This window comes from Homo sapiens, chromosome 10 (assembly GCF_000001405.40).
Source record: "Homo sapiens chromosome 10, GRCh38.p14 Primary Assembly".
In the NCBI taxonomy this organism is placed as follows: Eukaryota; Metazoa; Chordata; class Mammalia; order Primates; family Hominidae; genus Homo; species Homo sapiens.
The window spans coordinates 72,308,847-72,324,508 of NC_000010.11; the positions used below are offsets into that span (position 1 = coordinate 72,308,847).

Sequence of the window (15,662 nt, forward strand, 5' to 3'; positions counted from 1 at the left end):
TCCCTCCTTCCAAACCAGGAGTGATCCCCTTCCTCGCTGACATCCCACCACATTGATGTAGCCCTCACTCAACCCTTAGCACACACTCATTCGTGTTTTTGCCCTCCATGGACCCCAACCGAGCTGTAAAGTCTTTGAGAGCAGCTCCTGGGTCTCTAGGGGTCTTTGTATCTCCCCATTGTGTCCGATTCGGTGCACAGAGCAGATGTTTAGGCAACATCCACACCGTGAGGTTTATGTGAGGGGTACCGACAACAAGAGCAGCCGGAGTTCTGAACAACACAGTTTTGAGGCCCTTCCAAGGTGATCTGGAGGGCTTCCACAGGAGGAGTTGAGAAATACAGGGGGTCTTGGAGGTAGCATAGAGTTCAGTGAATGGAGAGTAAGCGGCAGGAAGGGGCATTCTGGTGGAAGATCCTGCTGGGGGAATGAGGTTTGGGGACCGAGTCCCAGGAAATCTCATATGGGGTGATTCCCAGGTCCAGATGCCCTTGCAGGCTTGCACTGTGTCTGCCAGGAGGTGAGTGCCAGACACGGGGGCTCTGATTACAGTCCGGAGCCATGATGGGCTCCCAGTTGCCACCTTTTCCAAGAAGCTGACTTTTGAGGAATCCGCCTGGCCACGGGAATCACACCATGTTTGCACTGCCCTCAGCTGTTGATTACACCCTCATCCGCGCAACCGGCATCCAGGAAGAACACTTTCTTCCTCACAGGGTGTCTCCTCTCCTGTTTTCATGTTTATGGCATCAGGTGGTTTGCAGAGTGCTCCACACCCAGACATGTGCGTCCAGTGAGGTCAGCTGAGAAAACAACAGCTTGCCCACCACCCTGCTCCCCCCTCATTCTGGGAGCTACAGGCTGGGGCCACGGTCACCCCTGGGCACACGCCCCCACCCCCACCTTCAACACCCCCAGTGCCTCCCGCTTCCCTTCTGCTTCCCTTCCGTCCCTGCTGTAGCCTCTCTCTTGCCCAAACTGTTGTTTATCAACACAGACCAGAACATTTTGCTGCCAGCAGAAACACACATGGTGATGGCACTGCTACCCACACCCTGCCGTCAACACACTCCCACGTGCTGTTTGCCGCTGTCAAAGCCCTGCTCACACACACATTCTCACCCGCTCCTGCCAGCACAGCTGTTCCCTGCTGCCTGGAACCAGGCCCTTCATCCCGCACGACACACATGTTCTCTGTGGGTTTTTCTCAATGTACGTGTGTGCTCATGGTGGAGGCACACACTTGTGAACCAGGCCAGCACACACTCTTCCCTCCGACCTGGGCTGGGGATCTATCACTTGCTACTGTGTGACCTTGGGCAATTGACTTCACCTCTCTGGGCATCAGATGCCTCACTGTAGAATGGGGATAATGATGACCTATAGAAGATAATTATCCATAGCCTCTCTAAGGGCTTTCTAGATTCTATATGGGCTTTTCCATAGGGTCTGTGGTTAGGACAGAGAGCAGGCACCCAGGAAGTGCTGAATCAGCGGGAGCCTTGCGGGTGGGGTGAGTATTGTTGGAGTCTTTCTGGAATCTGGCCCGTGGTTTTCCTCTCCGAGGCCGGCTGTCAGCCTCACCTCATGTTCACAGCATCCTGGCTGCCTGACCCTGATCCCGGAATGTCACCTGTCTGCTTCTCATGTTTCACCAGCGAAATGGGCATAACAACCGGTCCCCTCCTGCTCTGCCCCTTGCTCGCCCTCCCCCGTCTTCCCCTGGCCATCAGCAGCCCTTCTCTGTCTTGCCTCTTCAACTCAGTCTCTCCTTCTTGGCCGGCAAACCTGCTCCAGTCTTTTTTATCCTGGGAAACAGAGAGATGGATGCAGAAGGGAAAGAACACAAATGTGATTTGAGGATTGAGAAAAATCTGGGCTGAGCGGAAGAGCGCCCTGGCTGTCCCTGAGGAGCAAGTGCCAGCATGGGTGGAGCGCCAAGTCAGGCCATGCTGGAGAGCCAGTGCCTGGGGTGACATTGCCCTAAGCAGCACCACCTTACTTCCTGCTCTTGGTGGAAATCTGTGAGAGGGGTGGTGGGCAGATCCTGGCCTGGTCTGTGCTGAGCAACTGTGGATTTCCCCTTTTCCTACATGCAGAGACTTTCAAGCTCTGCCCACTGCTGGGAGCCACTGGAGAGCTGCTGGCTCCGGAGCACCATGGTAAATGGGTTGCCCCTAATCATTGGGATCCCAGGCAAGAGTACAAATGGAGAACCACACACCAGGTGTGTACATATTCAAAATGTGTACGCCAAGCTTAATCAGCTGTCATATAAAATAAATTCTATCTTCTACCTCCCCTCTGAATTTCAGAAAAACCTGGAAAGCCAGGTTTGAATCTGGAATTCCTGGACTCTTCAGAGTCCCTCTCTGGAATTCTGGGGCAAGGGACAGAGGGGCCTAGTTGTGTGACGTGCATGGTGGGGCTTTAAGGCAGTTGGCTCACTGGGTGAAAACACAAACCGTTTCAATCTGATCAATACTTTATGCTTTTTATTTTGTCCTAGGCCCGTGTGGCCAAAAGACCCAGAAGGCAGTTGAGCAGCTTAATTAAGACCTGCATTCAAGGCCGGGCGCGGTGGCTCACGCCTGTAATCCCAGCACCTTGGGAGGCCGAGGTGGGCAGATTACTAGGTCAGGAGATCGAGACCATCCTGGCTAACATGGTGAAACCCTGTCTCTACTAAAAATACAACAAATTAGCTGGGTGTGGTGGCGGGCGCCTGTAGTTCCAGCTACTCGGGAGGCTGAGGCAGGAGAGTGGTGTGAACCCGGGAGGCGGAGCTTGCAGTGAGCTGAGATCGCGCCACTGCACTCCAACCTGGGCAACAGAGCAAGACTGTCTCAAAAAAAAAAAAAAAAAAAAAAAAAAGACCTGCATTCAAATCCCTGCCAAAAGTGAGCAAATCAATTAACTTCTTTGAGGCTCAATTTCCCCATCTGTAAAATGGGACTAGTAATACCTCCCTGATAAAGTTACTGTGGTTACTCAAAGAGATAAGCCACGTAAAGCCCTTAGCATGGTCCTGGAACACAGTACTCACTCGGTAAGTTGAGAGCTATGACTGCTATTACAAGTTCTCCACACATGGGCAGTGACTGCCTCGGTGCAGGAAGCCGTCGCCCTGTCTCCTCCTTGCACACGTGAAACAGGTCACTCAGCTCAGCAGAAGCAGATCTGGAACTAGGGCTTCCAAGTTTCCCACCGCCCTGGATTTTGCTCCAGTGAAAAAGAAAAAAAAAATGATGGTACAACAATGTGAATGCTACACTTTAAGAATGGTTAAAATGTACATGTTATGTATATGTTATTATACCATTGTGTTGATTTGCTAGGGCTGCTGTAACAAATTACTGCAAACTGGGGGGCTTAACCAGCAGAAATATATTGTCTTGCAGCTCTGGAGGCTAGAAGTCCAAGATCAAGGTGTCAGCAGGATTGGTTCCTTCCAAGGGCTGGGAGGGAGAAGCTGTTCCATGTCTTAGGTCTGGCTCTGGAGGTTTCCTGGCCATCACTGGCATGACTTGGCTGGTGGAAGCATCACCCCAGCCTCTGCCTTTATCTTCACATGGCCCTCTCCCTGTGTGTGTGTCTCTCTGTCTGTCCAAAGTTCCTCCTTCTATTATTATTATTATTGAGATGGAGTCTCACTCTGTCACCCAGGCTGGAATGCAGTGGCACGATTTTGGCTCACTGCAACCTCTGCCTCCAGGTTCAAGCAATTCTCCTGCCTTAGCCTCCTGAGTAGTTGGGATTACAGGCACCTGCCACCGCACCCAGCTGATTTTTGTATTTTTAGTAAAGATGAGGGTTCAACATCTTGGCCAGGCTGGTCTTGAACTCCTGACCTCGTGATCCCCTGCCTCGGCCTCCCAAAGTGCTGAGATTACAGGCATGAGCCACCGCGCCCAGCCCCCCAATTCCCCCACTTTTTTTTAAGGACACTGGTTACGCTGGGTTAGGGTCTACCCTACTGACTTCGTTTTAACTTAATGACATCTGTAATGACCCTATCTAAATATTTCCAAATCAGGTCATATTCTGAGGTATTGGAGATTAGGTATTCAACATAATAGTTTTGAGGGAACATTATCCAACTTGTAGCAACCACAATGAAAAAAAAAAGTGTCTACCTTGTACTCGCTATCAGATTACAGACACGGGGAAAACACATTCTGTGAAGTTTCAGTGCTTTGCTCAGAGTAACTTTGCTCATAGTAGGTCTTCAAAATGTGTTTCTTAATTTGTGTTTAAATCTGATACCAAGCAGTTAAAAGGGTAGAAATCTCCCAGTTTCCAAGACGAGTCCTCTCCCGGCCATGAACTTAAAGGATTTTTCAATGATCAGCATTATTTCCAGACAAATACTTAATAAACTTTGTAAAAATAGCTACTCTCCATGTAAGATTTTTTTTTTTTTTTTTGAGACAGAGTTTCGCCCTGTTGCCCAGGCTCCTGTTGCCCAGGCTGGAGTGCAATGGCATGATCTTGGCTCACCGCAACCTCTGCCTCCCCGTTCAAGCGGTTCTCCTGCCTCAGCCTCCCAAGTAGCTGGGACTACAGGCATGTGCCACCACACCCGGCTAATTTTGTATTTTTAGTAGAGACGGGGTTTCTCCATGTTGGTCAGGCTGGTCTCGAACTCCCAACCTCAGGTGATCTGCTCACCTCAGCCTCCCAAAATGCTGGGATTACAGGCGTGAGCCACCCACCGTGCCCCAGCCTGGTTAAGTTTTTGCCACATTTGCTTGATCTGTGTAAAATTTTCCTGGTGAGCCATTTGAGAAGTCACATACTTGAGAATTTCCTAGGAATAGGCTGCTCTCCATAATCACATTGCCATTCTCACATGGGAGAAAACTAACAATGGTTCCATAATATCATCTCATATCCAGTTTATACTCAAATTTGACCAGGCTGATTTTTTAAACATTCTGAACCTAATGAATTCCAAATCTGTAAAGCTTAAGATTTTTTATTTTTTATTTAATTTATTTTTATTTTTTTTCTGAGATGGAGTCTCACTCTGTCCCCCAGGCTGGAGTGCAGTGGCGCAATCTCGGCCCACTGCAACCTCCCCTTCCTGGATTCAAGAGATTCTCCTGCCTCAGCCTTCGGAGTGGCTGGGACTACAGGCACCTACCACCACAACTAGCTAATATTTTTTATTTTTAGTAGAGATGGGGTTTAACCATGTCGCCAGGATGGTCTCCATCTCCTGAACTCATGATCCACCTGCCTCGGCCTCCCAAATTGCTGGGATTACAGGCGTGAGCCACCGCGTCCAGCCAAGCTTAAGGCCTTGACAGTATTACCTGTGCTATGGGAATTTTGGACCTTCAAAAAATGTAATTTAGGGCCAGCCACAGTGGCTCACATCTGTAATCCCAGCACTTTGGGAGGCCAAAGCAGGAGAATCACTTGAGCCCAGGAGTTTGAGACCACCCTGGGCAATATAGGGAGACCCCGTCTCTACAAAAGATTTAAAAATTAACTGAGCATGATGGTGAGTGCCTGTAGTCCCATCTACTTGGGAGGCTGAAGTGGGAGGATCACTTGAGCCCAGGAAGCGAAGGTTGCAGCAAGCGAGACTGTGCCACTGCACTCCAGCCTGGGCGATAGACCGAGACCCTGTCTCAATCAATCAATCAATCAATCAATCAGCTGAGCATGGTGGCACATGCCTGTAGTCCCAGCTACTAGGGAGGCTGAGGCAGGAGGATCGCTTAAGCGTGAGAGATCAAGGCTGCAGTGAGCTCTGATCACACCAGTGTATTCCAGCCTGGTGACACAGTGAGACTCTGTCTCTAAGAAAAAACGAAAAAAGAAAATGCAATTTGGCCGGGCGCAGTGGCTCACGCCTATAATCCCAACACTTAAGGAGGCCGAAGTGGGTGGATCACCTGAGGTCAGGAGTTCAAGACCAGCCTGGCCAACATGGTAAACCCTGTCTCTACTAAAAATACAAAAATTAGCCGAGCGTGGTGGTGGTCGCCTGTAATCCCAGCTACTTGGGAGGCTGAGGCAGGAGAATCACTTGAACCAGGAAAGGGGAGGTTGCAGTGAGCACAGATCACGCCTCTGCACTCCAGCCTTGTCAACAAGAGCGAAATTCCGTCTCAAAAAAAAAAAAAAAGAAAGCAAGAAAAAGCAACTTAACATGTAGAACTCTTTCTGGTCATGCCACATTGTTTCTTTTTCCTCATTTCCTTTCACTCACGAGCTCGAGCTCTTTTGAATGCTCAAACGTGTGCTTGTGGTGAGGTGCCCCTGGAATTCCTTTTATTCTAAGACAATGGCCTTCCAGGAGTACCTGCAGGAAGACCTGTTAAGACTGGCCTGGGACCTCCTAGACTTGCCTGGGACCTCCCTGCAGGAGTTGCCAAATGGAACCGGGAGGGAAGAGAGGTTTGCCTTTGCCCTTGGCCTTGGTTTGGGGTGGAGACACCCAGGCTGAGACATTCTCCCCTCCATAGCTGGCCAAGTTCCAATCTGGCATGGCTGTCCCTGCTGCCATTGTCATGGGCTCTTTCGGGGGAGTTCCGGACAGCACCACTGTGCAAAAGATTGTCCTGGCCTCCAGAAAGTCGGCTCCAAATGACACTGAGGGAAGAAAGAGGAAATCTCTGCAGTGTACTTCCCTGAGTTTTTGGGGAATGGTTCTCTTTCCCCTCTTTCCATCCCTTCTCTACAAATCCAGGGCTCACAGTTAAGCCCTAGGTTTGTAACACGGCTTCATAACTAAGAATGGCATTAATTAGCAACACTGTATAAATAAAAAGGGGGGCCAACAAGGATGGAGGGCGTGGGGGGAGTATGTGGTTGGCCATCCCAGGCCACCTTCCTCCTCCAGCTCCCAGGCTTGCTTCAGCTTTGCTGCAAGTTCCTGCCAATATATTTCTGCTTGGGACAGGAGCCAAGGGTCAGATAAAGTTCCAACTGTATTTTGCAGCAGGTCTGACACTTTGCCCAGTGCTCTAGGCCTGTGACAGTGCCAGGATAGTATATTGGGAAAGCCAGTCCAGAAGGAGTTGGTTTAAATGTGTTTGAGGTAGCAGGCAGGTGACTAAGCAGACAGTTCAGCAACACAACACTCAGTAACACCATCAGACCAATGTGGCTCCCAGGGACATGGAAGGCCTGTGTTCCTTTCCCAGGAAGCCCCCAGCAGCTACCGTGCTCATGCCCCAGCATTTCAGGGACCAAGATCTGTAGCCCCATTTTGTGATCTTTAGTAAGACAAGTAAACACTGAACACTAAGTGTGCTTATGCCAACCACTTTACATACATGATCTGATGGAATCCTCAGCACAGCTGATGAGGGAGTTACTGTTATTTTCCTAGCCATACAGTTAGTAGCTGACACTACAGGGAACAGACACACTTACTGTCTATGAGGATCTCTTCTAAACACTTTCCATGCATTAACTAATTTTTTGGGGAAACTGAGGCAGAGCAGGAGCAAAGCCAGTTGTCCAGTGTCACACAACTGGTGGGTGTGGACCTGAAACCACTGGAGGCTGGGTGATTCCAGAATGGAGGGTTCACCCCTGCACTACCCCCTGATTTTCCAAGTGGGGTAACAGGTTCGGAGACAGTCAGGGAAGAGAAACCAGGGTGAGATGGGTTAGTTCAGATGAGGTCAAAGGTTGCACTCTCTTCTGCTTCCTGACAAGCATAATGAGAGGCACCCATGGGAACAGAAGCTCAGACATCTGACCCTGAGCCCTCTGCCACTCTTCCTTCCTCTCCTCTGGCCCAGTTGGTCTGAACCGTGTTGTTCCAGGTCTCACGGGAGCTGCTGTGGGACACAGAATGGGCAAGAGGATTTTTGTTCACACAAGGTTGTTCCTGGAGGACCAGGCGCAGTGGCTCACCCCTATAATCCCAGCACTTTGGGACGCCAAGGCAGGCGGATCACCTGAGGTCAGGAGTTCAAGACCAATCTGGCTAACCTGGTGAAACCCCATCTCTATTAAAAATACAAAAATTAGCTGGGCATGGTGGTGCTTGCCTGTAATCCCAGCTACTTGGGAGGCCGAGGTGGGAGAATCGCTTGAACCTGGAAGGTGGAGGCTGCAGTGAGCCGAGATTGCGCCATGGCACTCTAGCCTGGGTGACAGAATGAGACTCCATCTCAAAAAAAAGAAAAAAAGGTTGCCCCTCACCTAGGCACCCCGAGAGCAGTGAAAAGCTGCCTGTTGTGCCTCCCACAGCCGAGGCTCTGTCTTGAACCTGGAAGTGAGCCAGCTGGGCCCAGCCTTGCAGGAGGCCAGGCTTCCTGTCACATTGAAGCTCTGCTGATAGCCCAAGGCCACGTGCGGCGATGGCACCTGCTGGGTGGGGATGGGTGGCCTGGTGTCAGTCCTGCACTGTCATTGTCCTTACCATCTCTGCTTTCACCTGCACCAGTGGACAAACTCAGGCACACGAGGGGCTGCTGCCATCTGTCCCTCTGCCTGGCCTCAGGCAGGATCATTAGGACTGGATCAGGAGGGAGCATCAGGCCTGGCTTCAGGGTGCCTGGCAGCATGCTCAGATATAGCACAGCACACAGGCAGGACCAGAGACCTACAGAATAGATGACCTTTAAGCAAGACTTGAATATACAATAAACCATCAGAAATCTGCATCTTACTCCTTGCGGGGAATTAGGTTGTTGTATACTGTCTTGACTTTTTCTTATGTTTACAGACATAACTATGTCTTTATTTACATACATGCATGCCCACCCATCTTTTTAGAAAATGTTTTCATGTTTTGCTAATCAATCATTCATTCTTTCCTCCTTTCCATATTTATTTATTTATTTAATTATTATTATTATTATTTTTTGAGATGGAGTCTCACTCTGTTGCCTGGGCTGGAGTGCAATGATGTGATCTCGGCTCACTGCAACCTCCGCCTCCTGAGTTCAAGAGATTCTCCTGCCTCAGCCTCCTGAGTAGCTGGGATTACAGGCATGCGCCACCACACCTGGCTAATTTTTGTATTTTTAGTAGAGACGGGGTTTCATCATGTTGGCCAGAATGCTCTCAATCTCCTGACCTTGTGATCCACCCTCTTTGGCCTCCCAAAGTGCTGGGATTACAGGTGTGAGCCACCGTGCCTGGCCTTTATTATTATTATTTTTTGAGATGGAGTTTTGCTCGTCATCCAGGCTGGAGTGCAATGGCATGATCTCGGCTCACTGCAACCTCCGCCTCCCGGATTCAAGCTATTCTCCTGCCTCAGTCTCCCAAGTAGCTGGGATTACAGGCACGTGTCACCACAACCGGCTAATTTTTGTATTTTTAGTAGAGACAGGGTTTCACCACGTTGGCCAGGCTAGTCTCCAACTCCTGACCTCAGGTGATCTGCCTGCCTCGACCTCCCAAAGTGCTGGGATTACAGGCATAAGCCACTGCGCCCGGCCCCTTTCCATATATATTTATTGATCTCTTAGTGTATGCCAGGCACCTTGGTAAGTGCTGGGTATGTGGAGATGAGGAAAACAGACATGATCTCTCCCTCATCGACCTTTCAGCCCGGTGGAGAAAGCAACTTCGAATTCTGAACTGCAGTAAGAGCTAAAGAGAGAAAACAGGAAGCTCTGAGAGTTAATAACAGGATCTCTACTCAAGTAACATTTATGTGGGGATCAATATGAGAAAGAGCCAATCATTTGAAGAGTGTAGGGAAAAGCATTCCGGGCAGAAGGAACAGCATGAGTGAGGGCACAGAAGTCTGAACATTGTGTGGGGTGTGTGGGGAAGTCTGAGGCTCTTCCTAATTACAGTGTAGGGGTGTAGTTGGGGGTTAAGCCATACAGGCAGGGTAGAATCAACGTGAGAAAACCCCAAATGCCAAGCCAAGAAATTCTGTAAGCAACGGGGGGCTACTCATGTCACTTAGTTTAGTAACAGCGGTTCTAAAGCTCCAGCCTGGAAAAGCCCAGAATATTAATGTTCAAGAGGAAATCTCTGCTTCAAATCAAAGGCTCTTTCTCCTGCTTGCTGGAAATTCAAAGCCTGCCCCGTGCCTCTGAGCCTTAGAGCCAGACAGGTTGCCTTATTACTGATTCCCTACAGAAACGCAGCCCAGAGAGGCCAAGAGATTTGCCCAAGTGAAACAGCAAACCAATGCCAAACGCAGAACCTCAAACCCCAAATGCCAGCCTTCAGCTCCAGCCCTAAACCTGTCCCCTTTCACCTGGAGATTCTTTCTGGCAGGCACTCAAAGCAGGTAGGTGAGAAAATGCCTTTTTTTTTTTTTTTTTTTGAGACCAGTCTAGCTATGTCACCCAGGCTGGAATGCAGTGGCAAGATCGTAGCTCACTGCAGCCTTGACCTCCTGGGCTAAAGGGGTCCTCCCGCCTCAGCCTACGGAGTAGCTGGGACTGAAGACTTGAAAATTAAATAAATTGCATTCTTGAAAATGCATGTTAACACGAATTTGTGGAGCACTTACTTACTAGTGCCAACTACGGTACCTGGCCTGGGAAATAGACCTGCCCCGGGAGGTAGACCTCCCCGAGGGCACTCCCAGTCCTGGAGCCCCCAAACTTCTTGAACTACAGAAATTCCCCTAGGACTCCCCTCCCCTGCCCCCCACTCCCCAAGTTGCTGAAAATCATGAGTAACAAAGCGGCCAGGAGTTTCCTGTCTTGCTGAGCTGGCTTACTCAATTTCCCTCGTTTGTCCGCTCAGACCAGACGGGGCAAAGGGCAGCCATCAAAGGTGTCTGGGACGAGCCCGGCGGGGTAATGGGCCGCTAGGGACTCAGTCTGGCCCGGGTCTCAGCCGGGGCAGAAGGCAGCCGGGCGAGGGCCGCGGGTGGGGGGCAGGGGGCCGGGGACAAGCAGCCCCGCCCAGGCCGGCGCGCTGTGTGCACAACGTGCAGGGCTGCGAAAGCGGATGCGGCCTGATGGGGCAATCGCTGGCAACGCGCCGCGGGTTGTCAGCGGGCGCTGGGGGGTGGGAGCCCGGCGCCGGCGGGCCCTGCCTCCAGCATTGGCCCCGCCCCCAGTTCCGCAGTCGTGGCTGGGTTTCGGGGAGGGCGCCCGGTGCGGGGGGCGCCCAGGGCCTGCGCACACGGGTAGGCCCGCGTGCCCAAGCCCCCTTGCAGCCCAGGCGCCCTGGCTCATTATCCATCCCGGCCACTGGCGTTCGGTTCCGCTCCTGTCGCACCACCCCCTCACTGCTCTGACAGATACCAGGAGCTGGTGCCAACCCGCAGACACACCTGGGCAGCCCCACGTGGGTATCGCACGCGCAGGGGCACATCTGCCCTGCCGGGTTTGGAGAGCAGTTGCAAGTCAGCCCCTGGAATGTGGTCCCGTGCCGGCTGGAGCAAGAACTGTGTAACCTCTCTGAGCCTCAGATAACTCATCTGTTAAATGGGGAGGATGATAGCATCACTGGGTTGTTGTCAGGATGAAATAAGATAGAGGCTATAGGGGCGGGTGTGGTGGCTCACTCCTGTAATACCAGCACTTTGGGAGGCCAAGGTGGGAGGATCCCTTGAGCCCAGGAAGTCAAGGCTGCAGTGAGCCAAGATCACGCCACTGCACTCCAGCCTGTGCGACAGTGTGAGACCTGGTCTCAAAAAAAAAAAAAAAAGGCTACAAAGTGTTATATCAGAGTCACTAGCACTCACCCAGTAAGTGATAGCCATGAAGATTCTTAAAGAGAAGGGAACTGGGAGCTACAAAGCCAGCTGGGCTCACAGGCTGCAACTGGGGCATGTCTGGGTTTCCGGCTTCTTTTTTCCTTCCCTGTATCATATTTATTTTTTCCTCAATATCACCCCTCATCTTTCACCCAGGGCCTGCAATATTCCTTCGTTCATTTGACACACATCGGTTGATATTTGTGCCTGCTGTGAGGCATTAAAAACTGCTTATCTGGCTGTGTGGCACCCGGGAACTTTCCCCAGGCCACACCAGCTACACCTGTGGCCTCCTCAGCCTGGGTTGCTGCCCTGAGTCACTGGAGTAGGTCACTTCCTCTCTCAGTCCCTCCATCTGTGCAATAGGGATAAGAGGCCTGGCTTCTCTCTAGTCTCCTGGGACTGTCAGGGGATGAGTCAGATAACGGTGGGGAAGGCGCAGAGAGGCAGAAAGCAGCTCTTACTAGAGCGGGGCCCATCTGGCTGATGCAAGGCTTGCACTTTGCATGTAACCCCAGCCGGTACAAACAGGGATGGCTCCGGGAAGCGTGAGGAGCAGGGGGAGCAGAGAAGTCCCCAACCCTACCCGACAGCCGGGGTGTGGGATCCAGACTGGCAGCTTAGGAGTCTGAGCAGCTGGGGCTCTGTCCAGGCTCTGCTTCCCCAGCTCTGCGAGCATGACAGCAGGTTCCTGACCCCTCTGATCCGGCTGCCTTTTCTGTCACTCAGGGGTTGCAGTACCTCCCTCACCTAGCTGAAGTTGGAAGTGAAGGTGGTAACTCCCAGAGGGAGTGGAGCCCTTCCGTGTTTCTGGGAGGGGTCTGAGGGCTGGCCGGGGGGGTCCGGGTGGGGGAGGTGGGACCAGACAGGAGGAAGGCAGCCCTGGCCAAAGGCTCAGCATATTCCATAGTCACCTCAGGCAGGGGGTTCTAGGGGCTCCTCCCAAAAGAGTCAGAGACCCCTGCACCCTCAGCCGACCCCAGGCATGACAGACCCCGCCTCATCCCACAGTGCACAAGGAGATCACACTCAGATCTGGGCCCCAGTCTGGCGTCTGCCCCAGGCCAGCTGCATGACCTTGGGCAGGTGATTGAATGTTTTTGGGTCTCCATTTTTCCACTTGTGAAATGGGGATAGCGATGCCTACTTTGTAAAGCTGTTGTGAGGCTGGGGGAAAATGAGAACGATATCAAGTGTTCACAGTAGAGGCCAGCACTGTTGTGAGCGGCAGCTCCTCTCCCTCCCCTCCCCTCCCCCTTTCCCTATCACAGGTGGGGCCAGGTGGAATGTCACAGTAAGTCCTTGGGATAGAAAGGTCTACTGACATATTCAAAGTGCCCCCGCCCCCAAGGTTTCTAGCCTGATACCATAAGCTTTGATGGCAAGAGCTCTGTTTGCTTGGGGACTTTATATGCATGATTGTATTTGACATATGACGAGGGCCATACGTGGCATCCATTATATAGATGGAAGCGGAGGCAGGAGAAGTCAAATAGCTTGTCTGGTCACATGGCTAGAAAGGGTGAGTGCCAGGATTTGAAACCAGGTCTTCCGGACTCCAGCTCATCCACCACACACCCCCTGCCTGCCTCTTGCTTTTGCCCTGGGTGTTCTCCTCTTTCCTGAGTGGCCTCTTATGATGTGGAGTCCCCGAGGCCAGGGACGGTCATGAGCATGGCTTCCTTGTCTTCCAGGGTGTGGCTCAAGCACACAGTGGGTCCTCAGTCCACCCTGCTGACCAGGGAGATGAGTCCTGGCATGAGGGAGATGACTCATGAAGCCGGGCTGGGCGAGGGTACGTGCCTGTGTCTCTGTGTGCGTGCATCTGTGTGCGTGCACAGGGAGGGGAATGAACGAGTACTGTCTGCTGGAGGCCTTCTCTCTCCAAGCTCCTACCCCATCCGGCGCTGCTCCTGAGACTCAGCCTTCAAGGGGGCTCTGAGCCTGAGAAGCAAGGGTGGGGGAGGTCTTGGCCATCTCCCTCCCTGGCCTAACGCAGGGCCTGGTGGGGGCTGTGGCTGATGGCGGTTCCATGGGAAGCCAGGTCCTCCCTGGTCCAAGGGGAAGCTCTTCGGGCATCTTCCACCAGTCTAGGCCCTGCTATTTTTAGATGCTGTCCCCTCCCCAACCCTCCCCTCCCCATCACATACCAGCTGAGGGAGGAAGTGACTCACCTCAAGCCCAGACAGGTAGAGGCAGCCTCAGTGGGCCCCGGGCAGGCCTGGTTCCTACGCTGGGGTTGCCTTCCTGGGATCACCTCAGGCCTGCCCCAACCTGGGGACAACACAGGGCTGGGATGGAGCCCAGGGCCTTTCTTGGGCTCCTCCATTCTCCATCTCACAGGACCTAACAGGCCTGGGTCTCTGATGGACTGTGGAGCCTCTGCTCAACTCAGCAGACCTCATCAGGCCTCGGACTGCACTGTGGGCCTGTGGCCGGCCTCAGCCCAGTCTGAGGGAGCCAGACAGGCGAAGGGGACTGCCTGTGGCCCCACCCTGTCTTTGTGAGTGACCAGTGTTATGGAAAGAAAAAATACCTGGTTCAGTGGGGACAGGAAAGGTGTGATGACCCTTGGGATGTGTGTCCCAGTGGAGTGGCCAGCTGTCCCAGAATGCCCAGATCTGAGGGGTTTCTGGGGACTCGGGACTCTCAGTGCTCACCAGGAGAGTCCTAGGCAAGTCAGGACGGTTGGCCACCCTGGTGCTGCATTGCAAGGTATATCCTAGCGAGAGGGCAGGTGTGGGGAGCTTGTTTTGGTTTCCTGACGGAGTCTCACCTAGTCAGGGCCGCAGGACCCAGCCCCTGGCCAGCTTGCTCTCTCAGGTCAGGGCATCACCTTGTCCATCTCAACTGGAAAGAGGCTGGGCTGGGCTGTGTGAGAACCCAGAGCCCCGGGGCAGGCTGGAAGACCTGTGAGCCACTTTGGCCAGGGAGGATAGGGGCCTGTCAACATGGGGTTGGGTGGACAGGTTAGCAGAGGCTGGGGCTGGGAGAGGAAGGGCACCTACCCACATAGGGCAGGGCAGGGGGAGGCAACCAGGAACAGCAGGAAATAATGACAGGAGCCCAGGATGTGCCTCAGGTAAGCTTGGCCCCAGGTCTGCAGACTGTCGGGTACTTGCAAGGAGGAATGGGAGACAGTGTGGCGATGGCTAACTGGCAGGCTGGCAGGGCTTGTTGGTTACTTGGAGAGGCCTCGCCAGGGTGACAACCTGGAGAACTCTCGGCTGCTCAGAGAAGTGGACAGAGGACTCCGCTGCCCTCCTAGATCAGGGTCTGGGGCTGCCTTCAGGGACAACCCAGCTCCTGGCCCTGAGGCCTGCCCTAGGGGGTTAGGTCAGGGGAGCCGTGGCTGAGGCCCAGACCTTGCTGGGGACAGCCTGCACCCCCGGCCCACCTTTGTCCTCCTCATCCACGGTCCACAGCCCAGGGTTGGGGCGGGGGGATGGTCTGTGTCCCAGGCAGCAGCTCCGACACCGCTGAGCTGGGCGACCTTGGCAAGTCACTTCTCTTTTCTGGGGCTCGATTTCCTCAGTGGTGAGATCGTGGGGGTAGATTAGGGGTCTGTTTTTTAAATATTTATTTTGGCCATGGAACCCCTTCTTCAGTCACAATTCCACCTGCACTAAACAAGAGATAACAGCGGGTGACTGAGACGGGTGGGCTGGAGCCCCGGGGGCCCTCCCACTCTTACCCCACACCCCTGGGGGCCCAGGGCTCTGGGGACACAGTTTGAGAACCCGTCTTCACAGCCTGCCGCCTCTAACACTCTGTGATTTATGCCTTCAGGACAAGGATGTTGTCCTTGTTGCCTTCTCCAGGCAGCCCAGTAATTAGACCCCAAGCCCAGCATGTTCTGGTACTATCCATTCCGTGCTGAAATCTTCAAATTCTTTCTCTCTTTCTTTCCTTCCTTCCTTATTATTTTTTGAGACAGAGTCTTGCTCTGTCGCCCAGGCTGGAGTGCAGTGGCACAATCTTGGCTCACTGCAACCTCTGCCTCCTGGGT

General features: G+C 52.8%; 10 annotated features.

Moving 5' to 3' along the window:
- Nucleotides 1,335-2,320: an enhancer, noted in NCBI's record as "H3K4me1 hESC enhancer chr10:74069939-74070924 (GRCh37/hg19 assembly coordinates)". NCBI's record gives its function as "activates a minimal SCP1, AML or CMV promoter by ChIP-STARR-seq in naive H9 embryonic stem cells {active_cell/tissue: H9 hESC(naive)}" and the evidence as "EXISTENCE:reporter gene assay evidence [ECO:0000049][PMID:30033119]".
- Nucleotides 10,239-10,288: an enhancer, noted in NCBI's record as "active region_3540". NCBI's record gives its function as "activates an Ori minimal core promoter by ATAC-STARR-seq in GM12878 lymphoblastoid cells {active_cell/tissue: GM12878}" and the evidence as "EXISTENCE:reporter gene assay evidence [ECO:0000049][PMID:35858748]".
- Nucleotides 10,639-11,198: a silencer, noted in NCBI's record as "silent region_2473". NCBI's record gives its function as "represses an Ori minimal core promoter by ATAC-STARR-seq in GM12878 lymphoblastoid cells {active_cell/tissue: GM12878}" and the evidence as "EXISTENCE:reporter gene assay evidence [ECO:0000049][PMID:35858748]".
- Nucleotides 11,925-12,219: an enhancer, noted in NCBI's record as "tiled region #14427; HepG2 Activating DNase unmatched - State 1:Tss, and K562 Activating DNase unmatched - State 1:Tss". NCBI's record gives its function as "activates a minimal TATA promoter and a strong SV40 promoter by Sharpr-MPRA in HepG2 and K562 cells {active_cell/tissue: HepG2 | K562}" and the evidence as "EXISTENCE:reporter gene assay evidence [ECO:0000049][PMID:27701403]".
- Nucleotides 11,925-12,388: a biological region, named in NCBI's record as "Sharpr-MPRA regulatory region 14427".
- Nucleotides 11,969-12,388: an enhancer, noted in NCBI's record as "active region_3541". NCBI's record gives its function as "activates an Ori minimal core promoter by ATAC-STARR-seq in GM12878 lymphoblastoid cells {active_cell/tissue: GM12878}" and the evidence as "EXISTENCE:reporter gene assay evidence [ECO:0000049][PMID:35858748]".
- Nucleotides 12,822-14,021: an enhancer, noted in NCBI's record as "P300/CBP strongly-dependent group 1 enhancer chr10:74081426-74082625 (GRCh37/hg19 assembly coordinates)". NCBI's record gives its function as "activates an origin of replication core promoter dependent on BRD2, BRD4, P300/CBP, MED14 and CDK7 cofactors, with strong dependence on P300/CBP, by STARR-seq in HCT116 cells {active_cell/tissue: HCT116}" and the evidence as "EXISTENCE:reporter gene assay evidence [ECO:0000049][PMID:35650434]".
- Nucleotides 12,822-14,033: a biological region, named in NCBI's record as "P300/CBP strongly-dependent group 1 enhancer GRCh37_chr10:74081426-74082625".
- Nucleotides 13,685-13,979: a silencer, noted in NCBI's record as "tiled region #4206; K562 Repressive DNase matched - State 5:Enh". NCBI's record gives its function as "represses a minimal TATA promoter and a strong SV40 promoter by Sharpr-MPRA in K562 cells {active_cell/tissue: K562}" and the evidence as "EXISTENCE:reporter gene assay evidence [ECO:0000049][PMID:27701403]".
- Nucleotides 13,984-14,033: an enhancer, noted in NCBI's record as "active region_3542". NCBI's record gives its function as "activates an Ori minimal core promoter by ATAC-STARR-seq in GM12878 lymphoblastoid cells {active_cell/tissue: GM12878}" and the evidence as "EXISTENCE:reporter gene assay evidence [ECO:0000049][PMID:35858748]".